Source organism: Homo sapiens, chromosome 16, assembly GCF_000001405.40.
Source record: "Homo sapiens chromosome 16, GRCh38.p14 Primary Assembly".
In the NCBI taxonomy this organism is placed as follows: Eukaryota; Metazoa; Chordata; class Mammalia; order Primates; family Hominidae; genus Homo; species Homo sapiens.
In genome coordinates, this window is record NC_000016.10 from 2,022,524 (window position 1) to 2,047,838 (window position 25,315).

The 25,315-nt window shown below is 63.3% G+C and overlaps 2 protein-coding genes across 15 annotated transcripts, besides 6 other annotated features; one reads left to right on the plus strand and one right to left on the minus strand.

Annotated features, from left to right (window-relative positions):
* Window positions 85-1,774: a transcriptional cis regulatory region, noted in NCBI's record as "candidate enhancer chr16.496 targeted for multiplex CRISPR interference". NCBI's record gives its function as "positively regulates NPW gene expression with high confidence in K562 cells {active_cell/tissue: K562}" and the evidence as "EXISTENCE:mutant phenotype evidence [ECO:0000015][PMID:30612741]".
* Window positions 774-953: a silencer, noted in NCBI's record as "silent region_7023". NCBI's record gives its function as "represses an Ori minimal core promoter by ATAC-STARR-seq in GM12878 lymphoblastoid cells {active_cell/tissue: GM12878}" and the evidence as "EXISTENCE:reporter gene assay evidence [ECO:0000049][PMID:35858748]".
* On the plus strand, window positions 4,379-16,503 carry NHERF2 (NHERF family PDZ scaffold protein 2). Of its 11 annotated transcripts, none has more exons than NM_001130012.3 (7): window positions 4,379-4,695; window positions 7,059-7,259; window positions 13,801-13,980; window positions 14,205-14,358; window positions 14,432-14,475; window positions 15,015-15,077; window positions 15,303-16,503. In NM_001130012.3, the coding sequence occupies exons 1-7, from the start codon at window positions 4,483-4,485 to the stop codon at window positions 15,459-15,461; spliced, it is 1,014 nt and encodes a 337-aa protein (NP_001123484.1). In that variant the 5' UTR covers window positions 4,379-4,482; the 3' UTR covers window positions 15,462-16,503. The 11 variants fall into 11 exon arrangements, with proteins under 11 accessions (NP_001123484.1, NP_004776.3, XP_047290879.1 ...); NM_004785.6 differs by having other exon boundaries at window positions 15,336-16,503; XM_047434923.1 differs by having other exon boundaries at window positions 15,234-15,959.
* Window positions 10,036-10,620: an enhancer, noted in NCBI's record as "H3K4me1 hESC enhancer chr16:2082560-2083144 (GRCh37/hg19 assembly coordinates)". NCBI's record gives its function as "activates a minimal SCP1, AML or CMV promoter by ChIP-STARR-seq in naive H9 embryonic stem cells {active_cell/tissue: H9 hESC(naive)}" and the evidence as "EXISTENCE:reporter gene assay evidence [ECO:0000049][PMID:30033119]".
* Window positions 14,125-14,707: an enhancer, noted in NCBI's record as "H3K4me1 hESC enhancer chr16:2086649-2087231 (GRCh37/hg19 assembly coordinates)". NCBI's record gives its function as "activates a minimal SCP1, AML or CMV promoter by ChIP-STARR-seq in naive H9 embryonic stem cells {active_cell/tissue: H9 hESC(naive)}" and the evidence as "EXISTENCE:reporter gene assay evidence [ECO:0000049][PMID:30033119]".
* On the minus strand, window positions 17,297-25,311 carry NTHL1 (nth like DNA glycosylase 1). 4 transcript variants are annotated; one of them, NM_001318194.2, is made up of 6 exons: window positions 25,186-25,311; window positions 23,757-23,843; window positions 22,107-22,277; window positions 21,044-21,203; window positions 17,610-17,715; window positions 17,297-17,524 (listed from the first exon to the last, which is right to left on the minus strand). In NM_001318194.2, the coding sequence occupies exons 2-6, from the start codon at window positions 23,778-23,780 to the stop codon at window positions 17,401-17,403; spliced, it is 585 nt and encodes a 194-aa protein (NP_001305123.1). In that variant the 5' UTR covers window positions 23,781-23,843; window positions 25,186-25,311; the 3' UTR covers window positions 17,297-17,400. The 4 variants fall into 4 exon arrangements, with proteins under 4 accessions (NP_001305123.1, NP_002519.2, XP_047290127.1 ...); NM_002528.7 differs by having other exon boundaries at window positions 23,605-23,843; XM_047434171.1 differs by having other exon boundaries at window positions 23,605-23,868.
* Window positions 24,715-25,214: an enhancer, noted in NCBI's record as "H3K4me1 hESC enhancer chr16:2097239-2097738 (GRCh37/hg19 assembly coordinates)". NCBI's record gives its function as "activates a minimal SCP1, AML or CMV promoter by ChIP-STARR-seq in naive H9 embryonic stem cells {active_cell/tissue: H9 hESC(naive)}" and the evidence as "EXISTENCE:reporter gene assay evidence [ECO:0000049][PMID:30033119]".
* Window positions 24,806-24,865: an enhancer, noted in NCBI's record as "active region_10252". NCBI's record gives its function as "activates an Ori minimal core promoter by ATAC-STARR-seq in GM12878 lymphoblastoid cells {active_cell/tissue: GM12878}" and the evidence as "EXISTENCE:reporter gene assay evidence [ECO:0000049][PMID:35858748]".

Consider the following 25,315-nt stretch of genomic DNA (forward strand, 5'->3'; position numbering starts at 1 on the left):
TCCGCCCGCCTTGGCCTCCCAAAGTACTGGGATTACAGGCGTGAGCCACCGCGCCCGGCCAACAGCCAATTCTTATGGAGCCCTTGGTTCCATCTAGCCCTCCCTCCGGCTCTGTGCTGGGTGAAGAGGTGGTCACACACCTCACAGGGCAACTCATTCTCCTGCGAGCTCATTCCTTCCCACTCCTGCCCCTGTTCCTCACTGAACCTGACCTCTAAGAACATGGATGTCCTGACCTCGTCACCACCACACCACGCCTCAAGGGCTCCCCACTGCCTATGGGACGATACCCGTGCTCTGGCAGGGCTGGCTCTGTCTGCTCTCACCGCCCCTCCCACTGCCTCCTCCCCCTTCCCCACCGCCTGCTCCAGACTGCAGATTCCAGGACAGCCCGGGACCTCCCCCGCCGAAGGAGGACTCCAGGGCCCCAGGCTGGGTTAAATGTTCTTCCTGGGGCTGCTTCAGCTCTGGCCTCCCCTTGCGCAGGCCAAGGTGCTCAAAGCTCTGTTCTCGCGGGGCTGGCGGGGGGGCGTTCAGTGATGTTCCCTGGTGCTTGCCTGGTCCAAGATGGGGAGACAGAGCCCATGAGAGGCTTCTCTGCCTCCCCCACTCCACACCCTTATTCCCCTGCAGCGCAACCAGGCCTAGGGCGCCAGCCTCACCCCAGTCCCCACCCCACAGGACTGGATCGAGTGGAAGGAAGCCAGATGGGCAGGATCCTGGGGCAACTCCTCGCACGATGCAATGCCACCAGTTCCGGCCAGGTGGCGCTGCGCGGCTACTGTTCCGGGCGGTAGCGTCCGACTCGCGCCTCCAGCAACGGGCGGGGCTAGAGCCGCAGTGGGCGGGGCCACGACGGGTGGGCGGGGTCGCCCCGTCGGCGGCAGCGGTTTCCTGCCTCTCCCCACTCTTGGGTCGTCGCAGTCCCCCGGCCTTCTCTCTCTGTCTGGTCTGTGGGTCTCTGTTGGTCACCTCCTTCTGTCGCGCTGGCTCCGCCTGCTCCAGTTTCAGAATGTAAAGAGAGGCATGGTGCAGCCTGAGGGAAGAGGCCCTAGGCGCGGTCTGGTTATGCTTGAAGGGCCATTAATGTCCATTAGGAAGCCCCGCCTGCCTGAGCAGCTCTGGACCATTACCGGGAGTCGGAATAGTGGCCCCACCCCCAGACAGGGCCCCAGGCCACGGCCACACCCCGGAGCCCCGGTCCAGGTCCAGGCTCGGGCTCCCTGAGATCGCTGGGACCTTGCTGGAGGGATGCGGGTTCAAGGCCCGAAGGAAAGGTCCTGCCAAAACAGGAGTGCACGGGCGGCCCCCACCCCGGTGGACCCCCCACCGACAGCCCAGGGGAACGGCTGAGACCTGCTCTCCCTCTGCTGGATAGGACCCACGCCTGGGTAGCATGCTGGCAGGCGTGGGTTAAGGGGGTTGGGTGGAGAGTTGGGGGATCTCCCAAGCCTCTGATTGCCTCTGCCTTGACTTTCTTCCCTCCTGCTGGGGCCCGGGGAGCCCACGTCACCCACACCCCATCTGCACCCCACAGAACCAGGAAAATAAAGTCCACCCTCCTCTCGATGCTGACCCTACTCCCTCCCGCCCACCTCCCTAGCCCTTTCTTCGAGACACCAAGCACTTTGCGGCCCCTGAACACCTTTGCCCAGGTGCTTCCCTTCGCCTTTCTCTGCCTCCAGCGCAGCACCCATACGGGCCAAGGTCAGCCTCGGACCAGGGCTGAGAGCTTCCGGAGGCTGGCTGGAGAAGAGGCCTGGGAGGGTTTGCCCCCGAGAGCTTCTAGGTCACCCTTCCTCGCCTGTTCCTCCAGGCCCCTGGACTCACTGTCCCCTCTCACTGACTCTGCACCTCCTCTGAAATCGTGACCTCTGGTTCCTCTCTGGCTGCCTCATTCCTCCTGCTCCCTGCTTTGCTAGGCCCACTTCCTTTGTTGCCCGGCCCTTTGCTACTCTGTTACCCTCCTCAGCTCCTTCATGGCTTTGGGGACTCTTTTGTTAACTCTGTAGCAGCAGTGTGTCCGGTGATATTTCCTTGGTTCCTGGCCCTGGTTGTGACCTCATGTCCCTTGTGGCCCCTCCCTCTGCCATGCTGTTCTCCATCCCATCTTTTTTTTTTTATTTGTTTTTAAATTATTTATTTATTGTTTTTGAGATGGTGTCTAGCTCTGTTGCCCAGGCTGGAGTGCAGTGACGCAATCTCAGCTCACTGCAACCTCCGCCTCCTGGGTTCAAGCGATTCTCCTGCCTCAACCTCCCCAGTAGCTGGGATTACAGATGCCCACCACCACGCCTGGCTAATTTTTTTTGTATTTTCAGTAGAGACGGGGTTTCGCCACATTGGCCAGGCTGGTCTCGAACTCCTGACCTCAGGTGATCCACCCACCTCGGCCTCCCAGAGTGTTGGGATTACAGGCGTGAGCCACTGCTCCGGCCCCTCAGCCCATCTTCAGTCACTGGGAGTAGGAATCAGCTGAGTCCTGGGCCAGGGAAGGATGGTGTATGCCCAAGGCTGATCAGGCGTCTGCCCCACCCAGGGCGGGTAAGGTCTGCAAGCCCCCTTACCCAGGGGACCTGGGGCTGCTGGAGTCTCCCATCCAGCCACCTCCCTCGACTCTAGTGTGGCCAGGAAGCTACAGCCTGCCAGGTTTTGGGTGGACCTGGTTGGTGTGGGATGACCCCCTAAGCCCAAACAGGTGTGGTATGTGGGGTGCGTGGTGGTGGGTCACACTGCCCACAGCCATCTTCACAGACTCCAAGGGTGGCAGCACCAGGCTGTGTCCAGGGAGGCCAGCCACAGGCCAGACAGGCAGCCTCTGGACATGCAGACAGAGAGATGGAAGCGGCCGGCCGGGCGGGAGCCTGAAGCAGCCTTACCCAGGAATTGCAGGGGTTGGGGTGGCGAGCAGTCGCGGCGCCTCAGCCTAAGTGGCTTTTAGGGGCAGCTGCCGGGATATGGGCACCCAGGGGGCCATGGCCCAGGAGGCTGCCCAGAGGCGAGCCCTGTGCTTGGGTGGGGGCAGGGGAGCCCAGCCCAGGGCCCCGGAGAGACGAGAGGGAGAGGAGGACTGCGCCAAGCCTGCTTCTACGGCTCACATGGGGAATTGCCTGGGCTGGCTGTGCCTGACCCCTGGGAACCAGGTATGTGCAAGGGGGCCTGGCTGGGCTGGGGAGGAGGGCAGACTGGGGCTGTGCCTGGACTCAGCTACCTTCCTATATTGGAGACAGAGGAAGAGCTGGGTGGTGAAGATAGCATGGACTCCGAATCTCACATCCCTGGGCCCAAATGGAGCTGAGGAGGCTTCGTGGGTCTTTTCCCTCTCCAGGCCTGTTTGCAGGTCTGTGAAGTGGCCGGTCCCCTAGGGTTGTTCCAGGTAAAATGCACTTAGGCCTAAATGATTTCACTGTGGTGGTGACTGTCCTGTTGGGGAAGGAGGGACACTCGTGCTTCAGGTAGAGGCTGAGGGACGTGGACGGCTGTGGGCAGGGGAGGGGAGGCCTGCTGCCTGCCTGTGGACACTGTGGAGCAGCGCCTGTGCACACCCAGAGCTTAGAGCCCAAATAATTCAGTGGAGTGTAGCCCATGTCAGGAGGTGGGTAGCAGGGACCCTCGAGACTCATATCCTTTTGTCACCCTGCAAAGTCACAGTCCAGGCCTGGGGTGGGCTGGGACACAAGTGAGGGGGCCGGCCCGGCCAAGGGAAAGAATGGCAGCAGGGCGTGGGAACCGACGCGGTGCAGATAGGCCGAACACGGTGGGTAGGCCAGGGAGTCTCCCAGCCACTGGCCCCCAGGATGCAGGGAGGGGCTGCTGCGTGTCACTTTTAAAGCCCTTTTTGCCTCCTGGGCCCTCCTGAGACTCTGCCCTGGGCCAGGGAGTCTCCCAGCCACTGGCTGGGAGGGATCCAGGTGAGACACAGCCGAGAGGAGACAGGCAAGGGGGTCCGGAAGGGCTTCCCGGGGAGGGTGGGGAGGGCTGTGGCCCTTGTTCTTACCCTTTGGCCCCTTTGTCGGGGTCCCTTGGCCTGGAGACCCTTTGTCCAACCCGTCGCCCACCTCAAGACCTGCCTCGATGCTGCGCATACAGTAGGTATCCAATAAATGTTCCTGGGATAGAAGGCAAAGGCGCTGGCACCAAGGCGGCTGCCCAGAGTAGGGGCGAGACAGAGAGGTCCCGGTGGTTAAGGGGTCCCCTAGCCCTGCCGCCTCCCCCTGCCCCGCCTCGGGCTGGCCGGGCGCGGAGGTAGGGGCCTGGCCGGGACGGCTGGGACTGGAGGCGGGGGCGGCCGGGCGGCGGGGGCGGGGAAGGGGCGGGCGCGGAGGCGGTGCCGCAGCCCGAGCCGGAGCCCGAGCCGGATCCCGAGGCGACGGGAGCCGAACAGGAGCCGCCGCTGAAGCCACCGCCGGGTGCCCAGCGCCGCCGCCGCCCCCGAGCTCCCCCGCGCCCCTGCCCGCGGGCGGCCGGTGGGCAGCGGGCGCCATGGCCGCGCCGGAGCCGCTGCGGCCGCGCCTGTGCCGCTTGGTGCGCGGAGAGCAGGGCTACGGCTTCCACCTGCACGGCGAGAAGGGCCGCCGCGGGCAGTTCATCCGGCGCGTGGAACCCGGTTCCCCCGCCGAGGCCGCCGCGCTGCGCGCTGGGGACCGCCTGGTCGAGGTCAACGGCGTCAACGTGGAGGGCGAGACGCACCACCAGGTGGGGGCCAGCGCTCGCCCCCGGCCCGCCGCCCCCTCCCCGAGCGCGTCCCCCTGGGGCGAGCAGGGGTCGCACGGGGGCCCGAGGGGGCTCCCGCGGGGAGGACGCGGACGTTGTCGGGAGGCAGCGGCCCGGCGCCTTCGGAGTCCCGGCGCAGGAAGCTCAGTCCTGCACGGGGGTGGGGGGGGGCATCCTGGCAGGGAGGGGCCCGCACTGCGGCTCCTGGCCGCTGGCCTCGCCCTTTGGTCGCGTTTTGGCCTCAGTGTGCCGTGAAGGAGGGTGTTGGGCCGCCTGGAGCCCCTCCGGAAAGGTGAAGACCTGGGTGCTTTTGCCTGGGTGTGTGTGTACACGTGTGCGTGTGAACACAGCTGGGCGTGTGTATGCAGGTCCCTTTGGGGTCAGCCATGTGTGCATGCGCCTGCCTGTGCGTACCCAGGAGGGGTCGCAGTAAAGGCATCAGTGTGTCTGCACCTGTGTGTGCTGTAGTGTGTGTGTGAGTATACAGGTCTGCACGTGTGCCTGTGTGTGTGCAGGTCTGGACTCCTGGGCGTATGGGAGCTGGGCTCTGTGTGTGTGCACGCCTGGCTAGTGTACTCATCACTGTCTGCAGGCCGGTGAGTCTTTGTGTCTGTACTCTAGTGTGTCCCAGCTGGTGTGTCTGGGACCGGGCTGAGTTGGTCATTGCTGGCAACCACATTCCTTAGCTACAAAGGCACTACTCCTCCTCAGAGGCTGCCTAGCCTGGCTGGGGTTACTGGCCGAAGCCTCCTGCCTCCTGGCTAAGGAGAACAGAGCCTTTTCTCTGTGGGTTCTGACCCCTGAGGTGTGTCTGTCTCCCACAGGCCAGGGACTCCCTCCAGACCCTGGTTGGGGTCCAGCGTCCACACACCCCTTTTCCTCCAGGTCCCCTGTCCCTCACAGCACCGATGAATCCATAACCTGTCTACATGGCTGGTCCTGGAACCTAGAGATTAGCAGGTTGGTTCAGCTGGACCTGGAGCTGGTCTCCTGTTTACCTGGTGCCTTGTCTGTCACTCTGTCGGCCGGCCCCATGCCTTCCACCCAGAGTGTCTGCTGTGTAAGGTTGTTTGCTGAAGAATGTGGGGATCAGGCCAGGGGCCTGGACCTGAGGGATTGAGGGTAGGGCTGCCAGGGCTGGGGCCAGGCTGCTGTTGGATAGTCACTGCCACCCTCGCCCTGGGAACACCTGCTTTTCCAAGGCCCTGTGGGGCTGGTCTCTGAGGACTGGACACACAGACCATGGTGGACTCTCCCCACTGCCCCAGGAGGGCAAGAGGGGCAGTTACTGCCCCATTTGACAGTTGAGGAAACTGATGCCAGAGATTGAGGGTAACTTGTCTGGGACACATAGTCAAGAAGCAGCTGGGCACTGGGTTCCTCTTGTCTCACTCTGGGTCATGGGGAGAGAGGAGGGCTGGGGGAAGATGGGCCTGGCTCAGTCCCTCCTATCTGTTCACCACCCCTGCTGAGCCCGGCAGCTGGTGGGGAGCCTTGTCCACCCTCCCCCAGGCCGCAGGTGGGAGTAGGGCTGCCCCTCTTCCTGCCCACTTCCCAGTGGGCACTGCTTTCTCTCCGCGGGTGTGCGCTGGCCCCCCGCGTGGTCCAGACACTTCACAGGCACCTGCACGCACACACCGACGGCCACCAAGCCACAGCTGTCCACAGGTGCACCTGCCTCTCCCCCTCGCCGGCTGCACCTGAATCCTGCTTCCCTGGCTGTGTGTGGGTGCCCGAGCCAGGAGCCCAGCCCTTCCCCTCTCTGCAGATCCAGAGGGAATGGGCCCATGGCCATGGCCTGGAGGTAGATATAAGGCCTAGGGTCAGGAGTTTAGACTCCCACACTGCACGGCAGAGAATGACGGGAATGGGCACAGACACACTCAAACTGGGGCCCAGGGAGACACACCTCTCCTTCAAACCTGGACGGAGACACAGACTTTGAAACAGATGGATGCATGCGCGCACAGGGACAGGCAGACTGAAAACCTGAAGGTCCACTGTGCACCATTTTTGTCACTTCCAGACAGGACTTACCCAGCGGCCCTATCCTGCAGCCCCTTCCCAGCCCCGCCTGGAGAAGACCCTGGGCTAAGGGCAAGGCTCTGGGAGCACCCTGAAGCCCTCACAGCCTGGGCCTCAGTGTCCGGAGCCTGAGTGCAGAGGGAGGGAGCCGCTGGAGTCCGGGGGTGGGGGGCGGGGCCGGCAGGCCTCTTGGTGCAGCCACCCGCCCATGCAGACCAGCCGCCTGTCCGCACGCCTGGGCCAGCCCAGAGTGGTGCCACTGCCCATGTGCTGCCCGGAATGTGGGCCACTGACCCGCTCCTATCGCCCATTCGCCCCAGGTGGTGCAAAGGATCAAGGCTGTGGAGGGGCAGACTCGGCTGCTGGTGGTGGACCAGGAGACAGATGAGGAGCTCCGCCGGCGGCAGCTGACCTGTACCGAGGAGATGGCCCAGCGAGGGCTCCCACCCGCCCACGACCCCTGGGAGCCGAAGCCAGACTGGGCACACACCGGCAGCCACAGCTCCGAAGCTGGCAAGAAGGTATGGCGGGCTTGGCCCACAGGGACCACCCTAGCCTCTCCCAGAGGCTCTCTCAGCTTTTGACGACGATCTTTGCCTTTGGTCACCTCCAGAAGTCTTGGTCTCTTCTGCCTTTTGGGGCTCCTTTTCTGCCCCAGGGACCATCTTGTTGGCCACTGGGGGCCACTGTTTCTACCCTCAGCCTGTGTTTTAAACTGGGTAGGGTCAGGGCAGCCTGGCCTGTTCCTCTTCTCCAGGATGCTCCAGAGCCACTTGCCCTATCGAGGGGTCACTCTGACAAGCTGCCGCCTCCCCAGCCCCCAGCCTCGTGGCTGAGGAACCCTGGGAAGAGGCATTCCAGGTCTGCGTGTGCGCAGCTCTGTGCCTGTGCTGGGTGTCATCCGTGGCTCTGTCTTTGTCTCTGTTGAAGGCGCCTGCATGCTGGGAAGGCCTGGGAGAGGGCCGGCCTTCTCCACAGGCAGCGCCGTGGTTGGGGAAGCCTAGGAGGCCACTCTGCCAGGCCTGGCGTAGGTGGGGCTGGGAGCATGGGAGTGGAGTTGGGGGTCCAGGAGGCTCCAGGGTGAGCCCACTCCTCCCCCTAGATACAAGGGAGGGCCCTGGGACCCTGTCTGCTGTTCCTCCTGGACTCCTGCTGGGTAGTACTTCCTCCTTCCCCTGCCCTTGCTCCCAGCCAGGAGACCCAGAAAAGTACAGGGGCGGCCTGCTCCACCTCCTGCTAGGTGGCCGACTGGGAGGGGCGGCCTGGCAGGCCTTGGGGACCAGGAGGAACAGCCTGAAGCTGTCTGTCTTATCTTCCTGGAGGCCCTGATGGCATTATCTCCATGTTCTCTCCTACCTTTTTTTTTTTTTTTTTTTCATTTTCAAAGAGAACCCTGGCCGGGTGCGGTGGCTCACGCCTGTAATCCCAACACTTCGGGAGGCTGAGATGGGTGGATCACCTGAGGTCAGGAATTTTGAGACCAGCTTGACTAATGTGGTGAAACCCCCGTCTCTACTAAAAATACAAAAATCAGTTGGGCATGGTGGGGCACGCCTATAGTCCCAGCTACTTGGGAGGCTGAGGCAGGAGAGTCGCTTGAACCCGGCAGGCGGAGGTTTCAGTGAGCCGAGATCCCGCCATAGCACTCCAGCCTAGGCGACAGAGTGAGACTGTCTCAAAAAAAAACAAAAAAAGGAAAAGAAAGAAATCCCTTCAGGGGATATGAGTCCAGGGGTTGGCCAGACCCCACTGTGAGAACCGCGCTTGGGGCAGGGGTGTGGGATCTGGAGTTCTGAGGGTGCAGGGGATATACACATTCACTTTCTCCCTTTCCCAGACGTCACTGCTGAAGCTGGCTGCCCCTAGGAGCTGAGCCCGGGGGGAGCGGCTTGGCAGGGAGACAGCATTCCCTGTGGGGAGCCCAGCCTGGGCGCAGGCCTGCCCGTGGGACCTGTGGGACCCGTTTTGTTCCTGGGGCTTGAGGGCGGGCCACAGTGGTGCTCAGGGCCAAGGTGCCCAGCCCAGGGCTGGTGGGGGGGCTGGCCTTGCAGGGGGGCTGGCTGGTCCTAAGCCCCTGTCTCCAGGCTGAGGGTTGGGGCCTCCCTCTTTCCCAGCCACCTTCCCTCCCCCAGGAGGAAGCTCCCCCTCTGCCTCAGGCGTTTGTCCATTGATTTGGACACAAACGCATGGTTCACCTTCCTGTGGAAAAATCCGGCCCTCGGACTTTATCTGGAGGGTGCAGTGGCCCAGGCACCTTGCCTTGGGTGGGACCTTCCCCCTCTGCTATTTCAGGCTCTGGGGGCTGCAGGAAGCCCTAGGAGGGGCTTCCTCTGGGTGTATTTTTAGAGGAACAAAGGGTGGCCTGAGTGGCAGGTCCCTTTGTGCATGAGTCTGGCTGGGGACAGGGGCTCCAGGAGGTCAGGGGGCACCCAAGGAACAGGGTCTCCCCTTCTCTCTTCTGGCATCAAGACCTGAGGTTTCTTTTTCTTTTTCTTTCTTGGCTCACTACAACCTCCGCTGTCTGGGTTCAAGCGATTCTCTTGCCTCACCCTCCCCAGTAGCTGGGATTACAGGCGCGCACCACCACACCTGACTAATTTTTGTGTTTTTAGTAGAGACGGGGTTTCACCATGTTGCTCAAGCTGGTCTCGAACTCCTGATCTCAGGTGATCTGCCCTCCTCGACCTCCCAAAGTTCTGGGATTACAGGTGTGAGCCACTGTACCCGGCCCCTGAGGTCTGAGGTTTCATTTCTTTCTTTCTTTTTTTTTTTTTTTGAGACGGAGTTTCACTCTGTCGCCCAGGCTGGAGTGCTGTGGTGCGATCTCGGCTCACTGCAAGCTCCGCCTCCTGGGTTCAAGCAATTCTTATGTCTCAGCCTGCTGAGTAGCTGGGATTACAGGCGTGTACCACCACACCTGGCTAATTTTTGTGTTTTTGGTAGAGACAGGGTTTCACCGTGTTGGCCAGGCTGGTCTCAAACTCTTGGGCTCAAGTGATCCGCCTGCCTCAGCCTCCCAAAGTGCTGGGATTACAGGTGTGAGCCCCTGCGCCTGGCTCAGGACCTGAGGTTTCTTCACCTGAGCTCCCAGCATGGGCAGGAAGAGGTGGGCCTCACCTGACCTCCACAGAGCAGGCTCAGATCCTGCCCTTCTCAGCCTGGGTTCAGGGCATGCCTCAGATGGTCAGGGAGCCCAGGAGGGCAAAGCTTACCTTGCGGGGATGGCTCCAGTGGGGGCACTGGTGGCAGAGAGGCAGAGCTCTGGAAGGGATGTGTGTAGTTTGTCTTTGGTGAAGGATGGAGAGGGCCCAACTTTGGGTGCCCCCTGGGAGCTAAGGGTGGCTCTCAGTGTCCTCTGTCCTGGCTGGGGATAGGGGAGGTGGGCAGGGGAGGACACTGATGTGGTTGGCCCCTCCTTTTGGGGGCCGTGAAGGCCTAGTTAGTGATGACTCAGCCCTGGGCCACACCAGGCTGGGGGTGGCCGCAGCTGCAGTGCAGCTGATCCTAGTAGTGACGACAGGGGACAGCCCCCAAACAGAGACGGGGTGGCCAGCGGTGCCAGGCCCTGGAGGTGGTGGCAGACCCTGAGCCCTCTGCCCCCTGCCCCTAGCCCATGTCTCCACCCCCATCTGGAGGGCCTTGGGGGCTAAGAGCAGGTGTGAGGGGTGACAGTTCTGCGGGAGGCGGCTGTGTGGTTGGGGCGCGGTGCCTGCGGGGGCTTCCGGGCTTCCCTGGCTCTTGCTCCTCTGGAGCCTCAACAGGACCGTCCTGTGTTCTGGGGCCGGGACTCCTCCCTGTCCCCTCAGCCCTGGGTCCTGGGGCAGGGCAGGGCCTTCCAGCAGCTTCCTTCCTTCCTTTCTTGGGACGGAAGCCTAGCTGGGTGGGGGGCGCCAGGCTGGAGCCTTCGCAGGGGAGCGGGCTCAGTCATCACCCTGCTCCCCAGAGTGACTCAGCCCCCACGTCCCCACCCATCCCCGGGGAGCCAGGGCCGCAGAGGGAGGTAGATAAGTGGGGTGGCAGCCTGGGTCGGCCAGAGAGTTCAGGCCACCCCGGCCGGACGCCTGCCACTTGCTGTCACTGTGCCGCTGTCATGGCACGCTCCGGGAGTGCCACGCCACCTGCCCGGGCTCCGGGAGCCCCTCCACGGAGCCCACCCCAGAGGCTGGTACAGGTCAGGTGGGGTGGGAGGAAGGGAGGGCTAGGAGGAACCGGCAGCCGCTCAGCCTCCCGGGGTGGAAGGAGGGGACTCCGGGACCTTGATGTAAGCAGGCTGGTCGCTGAGCAACAATGAAGGCCTTTCTCTGCCAGGGCTGGTGCGTCACCATCTGGGGGGGTGCCCAGGGTACCCCCATGCCAGCCTCTTTGTCCGGACACAGGCATGGCTGGGGGACCAGGGATGGTCCAGCTCTGTGCTGGCCGCCGGCAGGGAGGGAGCCTGGAGCCCGTGGGAGCCCGAGGGCCTGGCGGGAGGCGGCAGGAAGTGTGTGCTGAGCCAGGGCAGGGAGGAGGAATGTGAGCTATGAACGCCGCCCGAGCTCCTCGGCTCTCTGGGCCCCCCTTCCCCACGAGCCCATGTGCTGCCAGCAGCCCACCCTGGCCCCTCCATTGCAGCCCCTCCACCTGAGGTTTTAGTGCTGTGCCTGGCGCCACTGGGACCCTGCTGACAATGAAGGGGTTTAGGTTTGATAGGCAGAACTTCTTGCCTTGTAGAGTGAAAGACGGCTGCTTCTGGACAGAGGCAGAGGGGTGGCCAGAATGACCCTGAGAACACTGAGGGGTCCTTGGCCTGGCCTCAGGGCCCCAGACACCCACCAGATCCTGCTTCCTGTCTGGTGCCCTGAGAAACCCTGCCCCGCAGGCCGCTGTGCAGGCGTGGGAAGGGCTGCCGGGCCAGCACTGTGGGGCTGGCCGCATGTGTGGGCTGCTGTGCGTGTTTGCAGGTGTGTGTGGACGTCTTGTGTCTGTGGCTGTGTGATGTGTCTTTGCGGACTGGGCCCATATCACGCTCCCACCTCCTCCACTGAATTGGGCTCCTGTCCCCACGCCTTCCCTGCGTCCCAGGCCAGCCTGGGGGCCGTGCTCCACCTCCCCTCCCGAACTGGACTCCTGTCCCCACGCCTTCCCTCCGTCCCAGGCCAGCCTGGGGGCCGTGCTCCACCTCCCCTCCCGAACTGGACTCCTGTCCCCACGCCTTCCCTCCGTCCCAGGCCAGCCTGGGGGCCGTGCTCCACCTCCCCTCCCGAACTGGACTCCTGTCCCCACGCCTTCCCTCCGTCCCAGGCCAGCCTGGGGGCCGTGCTCCACCTCCCCTCCCGAACTGGGCTCCTGTCCCCACGCCTTCCCTCCGTCCCAGGCCAGCCTGGGGGCCGTGCTCCACCTCCCCTCCCGAACTGGACTCCTGTCCCCACGCCTTCCCTCCGTCCCAGGCCAGCCTGGGGGCCGTGCTCCACCTCCCCTCCCGAACTGGGCTCCTGTCCCCACGCCTTCCCTCCGTCCCAGGCCAGCCTGGGGGCTGTGCTCCACTTCCCCTCCCGAACTGGACTCCTGTCCCCACGCCTTCCCTGCGTCCCAGGCCAGCCTGGGGGCCGTGCTGTGACTGCATCCCTGAGGGGCACTTTGGTGGGCAGGTGTCAGGGTCAGCCTTGAAGCCCCACGCCTGTGCCACCAGGTGTGTCTGGGGGAGGAGTGAGTCTATGTGGTGGGGCCCTGGAGATTTTGGGGGTCTTGCACCCTCTAATTCAGCCCATGTGGCCCAGCTGAGCCCCTGTGGGGCCAGGGAGCCACAGGCTTGTCCCTGGAGTTTCTGGTGTGACGGGCTGGGTGGTGGCCATGCAGAGAGGGTTCAGAGGGTGGGCAGGAGGCTTCAGATGAGGCATCTGGCAGGCTGGACAGGAGAAGGGTGTTCCAGACCAAGGGCAGGTCCTGAGCCCAGGGGACAGAGCACTAGCTGTGTGGAGAAGGACCCCCTTGCTCCCTTGGCGGGGCGGTCCCCCCCGCTGACATGGCCGTTTCTGGTCCATTGGGGTTTGGAGCGAGCTTGAAGGTGGGTGGCTGGAGGGGTTGGGGGTGTCTGAGGCCTGGAGACCTGCCCTCCTGAGGTCTGAGCGCCCCCTTGCCATGCCGCCCCAGCCCTGGCCTGGCCTGGCCTGTGGTCCCTCAGGGACACACAGGGAGGTAGGAGGTGAGGGAAGGGCCCTGGCAGCCCCCAGCCCGCCTGCACAGTCTCCCCTGCGCACGCCCTCAAGCTTGGCGCTCCCTGGAAACCTGAGCTGCCTCCTGCCTGCTCCGGCCACCGCCATGTTTAACTGAGCACGGGCAGCCGCTGGCCACCGCCGCCGCACCCTGGCCCACCCCCTGGCTGGGAGGTGGTCATTGGGCCTGGCCTTGCCTGCATGGTCCCCTGGCCCAGAGCCCTACCGCAGGATGCCAGAGGTAACATGGGGCAGGGCCTGGGATGGTAGCGGGGGGTCCTTCCGGGCACCAGGAGGCCCTCTGTGCCCTGTCCACACTAAGCTCCTGCCCCAGCCCCTGCTTGCTGGGCCCACGGGGGTGGGGCGGCTCATTTTCCTGGAATGTGAAAGCAAACAGAGCCGCCACCGCAGCCAGCCCCACGGAGGCCTCTGGAGAGAAAACAAAACTGCTGGCCTAGGAGCGCCTGCCCCACGCTCTGGAGGAGAGCCCGGGGCAGGGGGACGCACAGGCAGAGCCCTCAGGGACAACCGCCCCAGGAGGCCAACGGCGACAGTTCATCCCACCTGGTGCTTCCTCCCACCCTGCCTGTGCGCCACGCTGGCCTCGAGCCAAAGGAATTCTCCCAGCAACCCGGGAAGGCGGCTGGGCCCGTCGGGGAGGCTTCTGGGTTTGAAAACAGGCTTTGCCCAAGTTCCCACAGCTAAAGCTCTGTCACAGGCAGCCTGGGTGCCCGGAGTGTTTGCCACTGAGACCTGGGCCTGCCCGTGGGGGGCACGGTACCGAGTTTGGGCAGTGGCGGCACCACCGGGGAGTGGCCTCTGGAGGCGGGAGGCTGGAGCAAGAGACTGACCCTGTCCGTTGGGCCTGCAGGATGTCAGTGGGCCCCTGAGGGAGCTGCGCCCTCGGCTCTGCCACCTGCGAAAGGGACCTCAGGGCTATGGGTTCAACCTGCATAGTGACAAGTCCCGGCCCGGCCAGTACATCCGCTCTGTGGACCCGGGCTCACCTGCCGCCCGCTCTGGCCTCCGCGCCCAGGACCGGCTCATTGAGGTACCGGCCCACCAGGGCTGCGGGGTGCCGAGTGCCCCGCACCTGTCCACACTGGGGCCCTGGGTCCTTGCAGGGAGGAGGGAGACGCTGGGAACCTGAGCTGGTGCGCCTCCTGCTGCCTCGGTGGGCGGTGGCTGTGATGAATATTTGATGCCACACCTGGCCACGCGGCGTTGGGGGCTGTCTGGGCCCATGGCGGGGCTGATACATGCTGGTGGCGGCAGGTGAACGGGCAGAATGTGGAGGGACTGCGCCATGCTGAGGTGGTGGCCAGCATCAAGGCACGGGAGGACGAGGCCCGGCTGCTGGTCGTGGACCCCGAGACAGATGAACACTTCAAGCGGCTTCGGGTCACACCCACCGAGGAGCACGTGGAAGGTGGGCCACGGCCCAGGGCACAGGGTGGGTGCGGTGTGGTGGCTGAGCAGCCACTGACACGCTGTCCCCACAGGTCCTCTGCCGTCACCCGTCACCAATGGAACCAGCCCTGCCCAGGTAAGAGGGTGGGGTGCCCATGAGACACAGGGTGCCTCTGGGGGTACCCAGGCCCGACAGAGGCCCCCTTCTCCCTGGAGATCCGTCCTCGAGGTGTGCTAGTGACACCCGATTTTAGCCCTGTCACCTCCCTTTAATGCCCCTGTGGGTCTCATCCTGGGTCGTGCCACACACAAGCCACGTGGGGCCCCTGGGGTCGGGGCCACTGCCTTCTGTCCTCTCCTGGGCACCACCTGGTAAGGAGTTGCCCTCCAGTCTCTGCCTCCTCAGGGAGCTGGCGGTGGCCTCACCCCAGGCGTTGCTCACGCCGGCCATTCCTGCACCTGAACCCCCTCTGCACCATGAGCCGGCCAGGCCACCTGCCTGTCACTGCCAGGCGCCCGGTGCCTGCCCCGCCGCATCTGGAGTCCACCAGAGGCCCGAGGCCCCCTGCCGAGTGGAGGAGCACACACTGGGGGGGGGTGTGCCTCTGTGCACATGTGTGCGTGTGCAGGTGTTGTGTGTGTCTGTGAAACCACAATCTGCCCTTGGTTTCCCAGCTCAATGGTGGCTCTGCGTGCTCGTCCCGAAGTGACCTGCCTGGTTCCGACAAGGACACTGAGGTATGGATGTTCTCCACTCCTGAGCTCACACGTGGGGTTGCTAGAGGCCTTGGGGTAGGCGTCTGTGGAGATGTCAGCCCGGGCAGTGGGGTCTCTGTTCAGGAAGTCCTCGTGAGCCCCAGCCCCAGCAGGCAGCCTCTGTTGGTTGCTCCCTAGGAGGGGCCACCGTCTGGGGTGTGGGACTAGGGCTCACTCCAGACACCCCACCCACCGTGCTCACCCCAGGATGGCAGTGCCTGGAAGCAAGATCCCTTCCAGGAGAGCGGCCTCCACCTGAGCCCCACGGCGGCCGAGGCCAAGGAGAAGGCTCGAGCCATGCGAGTCAACAAGCGCGCGCCACAGATGGACTGGAACAGGAAGCGTGAAATCTTCAGCAACTTCTGAGCCCCTTCCTGCCTGTCTCGGGACCCTGGGACCCCTCCCGCACGGACCTTGGGCCTCAGCCTGCCCCGAGCTCCCCCAGCCTCAGTGGACTGGAGGGTGGTCCTGCCATTGCCCAGAAATCAGCCCCAGCCCCGGTGAGCCCCCATCCTGCCCCTGCCCACCAGGTACTGGGGGCCTGTGGCAGCAAGATAGGGGGAGAGAGACCCAGAGATGTGAGAGAGAGTCAGAGACAGAGACAGAGAGAGAGAGAGAGAGACACAGAGAGAGACAGAGAGAGAGCGAGCGAGCGCGCGGCAGCCGCGGGGCGAGGGCCTTTGCTGCTCTGCCGGGGCCTGCTGACTGAAAGGAATTTGTGTTTTTGCTTTTTTTCCAAAAAGATCTCCAGCTCCACACATGTTTCCACTTAATACCAGAGACCCCCCCCCTTCCCCTCCCCCTTCCCCTCCCCCTTGGGACGCGCTCTAAATAATTGCAATAAAACAAACCTTTCTCTGCAAACCATTTCCTCCCCGCCCCCTCCCCTCAGCAGCGGCCGTCCTGAGTGGGAGTCCCTGGGACTTCCCAGTGGCCAAGTTGGGGCGCCCAGCCTCTTCGTGGGGACCTTGGGTAAGGCCAGGGAGGCCTGATGTGGCCGTAGGAGCTGCCCCTGCCCACCTGCCCTGGTGTGGGGGTCCCTAGGCCACACCCTGCTCCCCACCCAGCTACCCTGTGCGCCTGTGCCCTGCTGGGGGCCTGGGCTCTCCGAGGGGCCTGAGGATGGAGGCCCCACGTCCCCGAGGAGGGCGGCCTCTGGACAGGCCCCTCATTCCGCGCGGCAGCTCCCAGGCCTGGGGAACGTAGGTGTGTGAGAGCGGCACCCGGGAAGGACGCCTGGCCTCTGGCTCAGCCCTGCTTGGCGGGCTCCCCCGTGGACACCCTGTTGACTTTGCACTTCCCTCCCGGGCCCCGCACCCCCGAACCGACCACCGATCGACCGGCACCGCTGTTGCCTCGTAAGCCATAGCGCATGCGCGCTCTCAGGATAAACAGGCCCTGCCTGGGACCCACACGCCTCTGTCTTTTCTGAGCCTCCTCCCCGTGGGGTGAGAGGGGTGGAGGGATGAGGCTGTTTCAGGGAGCCCCCTCCCCGAGTCTCAGCAGCTGGAAACGGTCTCGTTCCTGAGCCCGTGCCCTGCATCCATCTGCTCCCAGCCCTGCTCCATCTCCCCCGCTGACCCCCATGGGACCCCCTGCTGTGTGGCACATCCTGGGCCCATGCCCATCTCTCTTATTTGGCAGACTCAGCCTCCCACCTTCACCTTCCCTGTGAAGCCATCCGGCCCCACACAACACCCACACGGGCCACCCTTTGCCCAATTCACCCTGCGACCTCTAGCAGTCACAGGTCAAGCTTTGTACCCTGTGGCGCCCTGCCTGGGTCCCCAGTGTCCCTTTCAAGGCCGGGTAGCTCTGTAAACAGGGGTGGGACCCTGGCAGAGGCTGGGCTTTGAGGGCATGAAAGTTCAGGAGCTGGCGGTGTCCGGGCTGGGAAGCTGGGGGGCCGGCGGTGGATAGCATGAGGGGCCAGGGTCCCCAGCCAGCTGCCCGGGGGCTGCTTGCTTCCCCAGCGGACTTCCAACAGCTGGCTGCAGCTGGCTCTCCCCACTTCCTCCCTCCCAGGTTCATGCACACCCCCTCCCCCTCCCTGAGTACATAGCAAAGATTGTCACGTCCCCAGCCGGCCTCCCAGGCAGCCCTGCTCCAGACACGCGAGCACGGGTGTGTACGAACACATCCTTGTATGCGATTCCCAGGCTCTCTGCCCCCTCAGGGACAGACATCAGCCAGATCCCATCTGCAAACACACCAAAGCTTTATTCAACAGGCGTGGCTTCCTGAAGCGTAAAGCCACTTCACAGACGGTGGCCACAGCGGCACCTCGGCCAGAGCCATGCGGCCATCAGAGACCCTGGGCGGCCGGGCAGAGGGCTTGGTTGAGGCAGGCGTGGCAGCGAGGGTGCACAGGCAGACAGGTCTGCTGGCCGAAGCCCACCAAGAGTCCATTGATCTCGTGCCACAGCTCCCTGTGGGGGTGGGGGCTGGGTCAGTGCTGACAGAGGGCGGGCGGGGTGAGCTCTTCTCCCTAGGAAGCCCCCCACATACTCATACCTAGGCAGCCACTCCTCCAGGGCGGCGCGGGTCTCCTCTGGGGACTTGGTTGCCTTCTTGGTCCACCTCAGCCTGTTGGCGATTCTGTGCACATGCGTGTCCACTGCTGCTGGGAGGCCAAGCGGGGTGAACAGGGGCACACTCCACCAGCCTAGCCCGTGCCCCTCCCCGCCCAGAGGCGAGTCTGCCACCACCCCCGTGGCCCTCCAGTTAGACATTGGAACCGCAAAGCCCTGGCTGCAAGCCTACATGTGACCATCTTGGCTGCCCCTGAGGTGCTGGGGCAGGGGCTGAGCCCTCTGTTGGGGTGCAGGCCTCTCTCCCATCACCTGAGCCAGCCTGGGGGGCTCTGTTCTGGGCTGCCCACTCCCAACACTGGTGCTAGTTGGATGTGTGGGTGGTGGGGTCTCTGCTTTGGGCAGGGCCTGGGGGTGATGACTCGGCTCTGCTTGGAGCTCTATTCCCCACAATAACAGCGACAGCTCGCTTGGACAAACGCTTGCTGGGGGCCAGACCCTGCCAGAGAGATTGGCCAGCTCAGTGAGTCCTCATGAGGTCCTACGGATGCTGAAACCGAGGCCCGGCAGGATCCCGACTCCGAAGCACCTCTCAGCCCTCAGCCTCCCCAGGAACGTGGCCCTGTCCCCGGAAGGGTCCATCCAGGCTTCCCTCTGTCTGTCTCCTGTGGCCTGAGGCTCCTCTCGGCATAAGCACTGGCTCTGGGCACCAGGCTGGGTGGCAACAGCTCTGCCTGGCAGGCCGGCATGAGGTCACTGCCTGCAGACCTAGCACCTGCCACTGCAGCGGTCAGGGACACAGCGGGAGCATGCCCTGGCCGGCCGCAGCTGCTGTCCACCTGGGTTCTGGCTCCTGCTCCCCTCAGCTGGCCACCCCAGGCGTCTGCTCACTGGGGCTCCCTTCTCCCACCCGGTGGCCCCGGCCAGCTGCAGCCCCAGCCCTGCCTCCTCCTCCCGTGTTTCCCAAAGAGAAAGCCGAGGCCTGCACCAGCTCCTTCGCTGCTGCCTAGAAAAAGGTGTCCGAGGGTGTGGGGAGACCACAAGGCCTGAGGGGTCACACCCCTGGGGCTCTGAGCCTCAGTTTCCTCCTCTGTAACACGGAAGTGGCCATGCTTCAAGGCTGAGTCAGGCCACGTCACGTTGTGTGAGCCTCCTGCCCACCTGGACAGTGAATGACGAGGACTGCCTCACCCACTTTGTGGCCAGAGCTTAGAGAAGCCAAGGGCCTGGCCCAGAGTCACCCAGCCAGGAGGTGCAGAGCTGGGACCGGAGCCAGCAATCTATGGCTGTGGCATTTTTTTTTTTTTTTAAACGGAGTCTTGCTCTGTCACCCAGGCTGGATACAGACAATGGTGCGATCTCCACTCACTGCAACTTTCGCCTCTGGGTTTCAAGCGATTCTCCTGCCTCAGCCTCCCGAGGAGCTGGAATTACAGGCTCCTGCCACCACGCCCGGCTAATTTTTTTTTTTTTGGTGAGACGGAGTCACGCTTTGTCGCCCAGGCTGGAGTACACTGGCGCGATCTCAGCTCACTGCAAGCCCCACCTCCCAGGTTCACACTATTCTCCTGCCTCAGCCTCCCGAGTAGCTGGGACAACAGGCGCCTGACACAATGCCTGGCTAATTTTTTGTGTTTTTTAGTAGAGACGGGGTTTCACCATCTTAGCCTGGATGGTCTTGATCTCCTGACCTCGTGATCTGCCTGCCTCGGCCTCCCAAAGTGCTGGGATTACAGGCGTGAGCCACCACGCCTGGCCACACCCGGCTAATTTTTGTATTTTTAGTAGAGAGCGGGTTTCACCACGTTGGCCAGGCTGATCTTGAACTCCTGACCTCAGGTGATCCACATACCTCGGCCTTCCAAAGTGCTGGGATTACAGGCTTGAGCCCTTGTACCCAGCCAGCTCTGACATTTTAACTGAGAGCGTTTCTCTTTCGGGGAACCCCTAGGAGGCAGCCCTGGGGTCTCCTTGCAGGTGGTCAGGCCCACAGACACCTGGAGAGGGAGGTATTTCCACATGGCTGTCTCTTGTGCCCGCTGCTCCCAAAGCCCGTTCCCTGCCTGGCTGCGGGCAGGGACCTTCCCCCACAGCCCTGCCCAACCACGATGCAGCACCCCAGGGACACGGGCAGCTGAGGACAGCCGCCCAGATAAGCTCAAGTGTCCACTGAGAGGCTGGCAGGTGGTGACGCTGGGAGTCTCAGTCGGGAGGAGGCCCTGCCCCGGCGCACCTGGCCTGGCTCTGGCTCTTTGGGGCTGCTGTGGCTGTTCAGCCTCACCAGGTGGCCCCGGCTCAGAATAGAGGCCCCCGGCCCTTGGTGGCCCTCTTGCCCACCAGAAAGTGCTGCAAGCCCCCCGCCTCCGGCACAGGCCCCCTGCAGGAGTCCCAAAGGGGCCTGGGATGGGGGCACACAGAGGGCAGGGCCAAGCCCTGGTTTCTGGACTGGCTGGGCCCGGCTGCGTGTGGCCTTAGGAGCCCCAAATCCTCTGGACAAAGCCGAGGAGGAGGCAGCCCCACCCCAAACCCAGGGGTCTGTCTGCACCCAACTGCCAAGAAGCCTCCGGTGCTAGGAAGAGACACCAGGACCTGGGAAAAGGATTCAAGGAGGGCCCTCCCCCCAGTGCCTCCCTCCCCACCCTCCCCTCTTCTCCCTCTCAACCCTCCCCTCTTCTCCCCGCAGCACCTCCCTCTCCACCCTCCCCCCATCCTCCCAGCGCCTCCCTCCCCACCCTCCTCCCCCATTCCCCCAGCGCCTCCCTCCCTACCATTCCCCTCCTGTCCCCGCAGAGCCTCCCTCCCCACCCTCCCCCTTTCTCCCCCCAGCACCTCCCTCCCCACCCCACCTGCTGAGGGGATACTCTTCCTCCTCCCTCCTCAGTCCTTACCTCCCCACTCTGCCCTCATCTCATTCCAGAACTTCCTGCTCCTGGCCCTCTCTCTCGCATCATGGTTTTACAGATGCTGTTCCTTCTGCTGGGAACACACTTCCTCCTCTTGGCCTGGCTCACCCCACCTTGCTCTGCAGCTCTCAGGTGAAGGATGACCTTGGGGGCCTTCCCAGAGGCCCTGGGCCCAAGCCAGGCCCCAAGAGCACCCTGCACAACCATCAGGGTTTCCACTCCACGAGTGGGGAATTCCTCGCTCCACATTTCTCCCGAATACAACGCAGATGGAGTCCAGCTCCGGGGCCTCTCTCAGAGCCCTGCACGGAGCAGGTGCTCAGCCCATGTGACCTCCTGCCCCAGCACCTGTCTCTGAGTGGGGCTGGCCTGGCTCCACCCTGGGAGCACCTTTCTGACTCTATGGGCTGGGTGGAGGACCAGCATGCTGGAAGTGGAGTCACAGGTCACAAGGATGTGGGGAATCCCAAGAGCAGCCAGTGGGCTGGAGCCAGCCCCGCCCTCCTCTACTCACCAATGCCTGACACAGTGCCCCAGGCCACAGCCATAGCCAGGTGTGCCATCTTGGGCCCAACACCCGGCAGCGCCACCAGCTCGGCCACAGAGGCTGGGATGTCCCCACCGTAGTGCTGCTGCAGGATGGCGCTGGTCTGCTTGATGTATTTCACCTTGCTCTGAAAGACAGGGGTGGGTTCAGCCTTGGAGGCAAGGGCACAGCCCAACCTGGGAGGATGCAGCCCCCAGGAGACCCACAGGTGGCCAGAGCTACCTGCACCTGCTGAGGACGTGTGCAAGCTCAGCCCCCGCCCCCCAGGAGGCGGGAACAAGCGGAGGGCAGCAGGGAGGCCCAAGGTAGGCCTGACCCCCTCCTCCCACCCGTGTGGGCCAATGATGCACGTGTAGGCTCTGGCTGGGGTTCCCCTGCCCGTCATTCCCTGCCAGCACCCAGGCCAGGCCAAGCAGGCCAGCCGCTCCCAGGAGTGGGGCTTGGCTGCACCTGCGCCTTCAGGAAGGAGGGCTGGAGCTGGGGCTTCCCCACCAGCTGCCAGGCCTGCCGGGTGGTTCCCATCCTGTGCCTGAGTGGAGAGGGCTATTTAAAACCCATCTGAGAAACTGCGGCCCACGCGGGTGCCAAGGGGAAGCGGCCCCACCCACCAAGCTGCTTTCAACAGATCCGCCCACCACCATCCAGTGCTCGGCGGGGTTGGGGAGCAGCCTCCCCAGGGCTCCTGGAGGGTGAGGGGCTCTGGACAGGAGGGGGTGACACACCGGGAGAGGCTAGCAGTAAACAAAGGGAAAGGCGGGTGGGCAGGCAGCCTTGGCGGTGAGGAAGGGTGGGCAGGCGGCGAGGCGGGGAAGCAGAGGAAGGAAGGGAGGATGCGAACAGGAAGGCCAAGGAGCTGCTGGGACTGGGCGTCAGGCCTCAGGGCCCCACGGCCTGGGGGGGGCTTCAGGGGGACCCCCCGAGCCTGAGATGCTTGACCCTCACTTCCTGCACCGTCGCCACCCCCCTCAGCCTTCTGAGGTCTCTCTCAGGCCACTGCCACCCGGCCCCCGTTGCCACAGGCAGGGCTCACCCTCCAGAAACCGACGGGGTAGATGAGCTTGCCCAGCGTGGCATCATCTGTCTGCAGGATGCTGTCCACCGTCAGGCCCCGCGCCCGCAGTCGCTGCATGGCGCCCGCCGTCACCTGGTCTTTGGTTTGGCTGGAGAGCATCAGTGACAGCAGCACCTGGTACCTGCGTACCTGCTTGTGCAGTGACAGGGACCGGGGTGGCGGCGGGTCCTGGGTGATTCCCTGGCCAGGCTCCGCCCCCCGCCCTCGACACACCCTGGTTTGTTGCCCTGGGCCACACTTGAGGCATCAGCCTCCCCCTGTGGGGTGGGGAGGTCTGGTTTGGGTATGTTTGGTCATCTACAACACCAGGACAATAATAGTACCTGACTCACTGGAGTAATGTGAAGCTTAAATGAATTATCTCAGTGCTTAGAATCGTATGTGGCCGGGCGTGGTGGCTCGCACCCGTCATCCCAGCACTTCGGGAGGCCAAGGCAGGCGGATCACCTGAAGTCAGGAGTTTGAGACCAGCCTGATCAACGTGGTGAAACCCCGTCTCTACTAAAAATACAAACATTAGCTGGGTGCGGTGGTGCATGCCTGTAATCCCAGCTACTCGGGAGGCCGAGGCAGGAGAATAATTTGAACCTCGGAGGCGAAGGTTGCAGTGAGCTAAGATTTCACCACTGCACTCCAGCCTGGGCAACAAGAGCAAGACTTGGTCTCAAAAAAAAACCCAACACGATCGTATCTGGCCCATCACTACTGAACAGCCATTGGCCACTACTATTATGATTGCTTCGTGAATCATCACACTACCCTTTAAAACAAATTTTTTTTTTTGAGATGCAGTATCACTCTTTCACCCAGGCTGAAGTGTGGTGGTGCCATCTTGGCTCACTGCAACCTCCGCCTCCGGGGTTCAAGCGATTTTCCTGCCTCGCCCTCCTAAGTAGCTGGGGTTACAGGTGCCTGCCACCACACCTGGCTAATTTTTGTATTTTTAGTAGAGACGTGGTTTCGCCACATTGGCCAGGCTGGTCTCGAACTCCTGACCTCAGGTGATCCACCCGCCTTGGCCTCCCGAAGTGCTGGGATTACAGGCCTGAACCACCATGCCTGGCCCATACTACCCATTTTACAGACAAGCAAACTGAGGCTCAGAGAGGCCTGTATCCAAGCCACCTGGTAGCAGAATAGGGATTAGAACTCAGCTTGGTCTAAGGGTTTCAGGCCCTGGGACCGTGAAGCAAAAGGAACTCTTCCTTCCTGATATCACACAAAGCCCAGGTCACGCCTGCACTGGGCAGAAGTTCGAGCACGAGGCCCTAAACCACTGGTGTCCTGACCTGCTGAGTGGCTACAGTGATGCAGGCGATGCTCTGGGGCACCGGGTGTCCATCCTCCCAAGGTGCTGTCTGCAGGGGAGGGTGCCAGCCAAAAGCCACCGGGTAGAAAGAAAACAAGGACCTTGCTAAGATGGGGGGTCATCTGGGCAGATGGGGCCCCTGCCTACCTTTGGGGGGGCACTGGAGTCATAGCAGTGCTCAGTCCCCAGATGGTCCACAGGTGCATCCTTTTTGTTCCTCATGGCACGGATGTTGACCAGCTGTTGCTGCCAGTCCTGGGGCTCCCAGACTGGCACCTTGAGGGGCTCAGCCCCCTCACCTTTCTCACTGTCCGAGCCCTCATAGGCCACACGCAGTCTCTGTGCTTTCCGCGGACGCTTCACGGGGCTGTGGCTTTTCCTCGCTTCTGCAAAAAGCACCACGCAGTCCCTCTGGTGGGGCCACAGGTGAAGGTAGGGTAGGGGTGCCATCCCGCCTGCTAGCTCACCCCTCACTCGTTCATGCCACAACTGTCCATCATCTAATACACTTGGGGTGCTCTGCCCTCTGCAGTCTGGGGTATGTGGGCCCTCCTTATGCCAGCGACCCTGACAAGGTCCATGTTAGCTCATGAGGACTCTAGCAACAGCCTGTACCAAGGTGCCCCCAATACATCTTCTATACTGCACCAGAGACAGTCTGCTAACACCCACATCAGGTTGTGTCACTCCCTTTTAAAAAATCCTGGCCGGCCGGGCGCGGTGGATCAAGCCTGTAATCCCAGCACTTTGGGAGGCCGAGGTGGGTGGATCACTTGAGGTCAGGAGTTCAAGACCAGCCTGGCCAATATGGCAAAACCCCATCTCTACTAAAAATACAAAAGTTAGCCGGGTGTGGTGGCAGGGGCCTATAGTCTCAGCTACTTGGGAGGCTGAGGCAGGAGAACTGCTTGAACCTGGGGGGCGGAGGTTGCAGTGAGCTGAGATCACAACACTCCACTACAGCCTGGGTGACAGAGCAAGACCCGATCTCAAAACAAACAACAAAACCTCCTAATTGACTTCCGTTTACTGTCATAATAAACTCCAAACTCTATCCTGGCATCAAAGCTCCTGCCACCCTGGCTGGCATCACCACCTGCCTGCTCCCAGCTGCACCAGTTCCTCCTGACATAGTCTGGACTACCCCTGGGGTCCCTGGGTGCCTATGGGAATCCAGCTCTGGCCAATTCTGCAGAAGTCCCAGCGGGACTAGCGCAGAGGCCCTGTCCGTGTCCCTCACTGCTCACTGCAGTGCTTGGCCCCCAGCAGGTCCTCAACGGCTGCAGGATAAATATAATAAGTGCCATGCCCTTTCCTGTTTTCCCTCAGAGGCACCCTCCCCCGAGCTGGGGGAGCAGGCTTCTGGCTGCGTGTGTCCTTGGCACCCAGCCTCTCCGAGGACAGCAAGTTCACTGCAGGAGGGCGGGGATGGGACCCACAGAGCCTGGAGTGGAGAGTCCCGGACAGAGTGGTGGGAAAGGAAGCGTTTTCTTGCTTGGGGCGAAAGGGGGCAGCGGAGCGGAGCGCCCGAAACCCAGCCCCTGCGGACCGCAATCTTTGGGAAAAAGGCGCAAGGTGGGAACGCAGGGCCGCACGTGGGAACCGTTCGCGGCTGCCGGGTTTGCAGCCCCTGCCCGCGCAGCTGGGAGCCGCAGGAGGCGGCCCGGGACTCCAGCCTGCAGCCCCTATCCCGCCTCCTCCCACGCTCCAGCCACGGCGCGGCGCTACCTGCTGCAGCCTCTCTTCTCCGGAGAGGCCCGGGCTCCTCCCTACACCCCCGCGGCCCAGCCCCGGGTCCCAGGCTCCGGCTCCGGGTCAGCATCCTCGCGCTCAAGGCGGTCATGCCGGACTCCTGCGG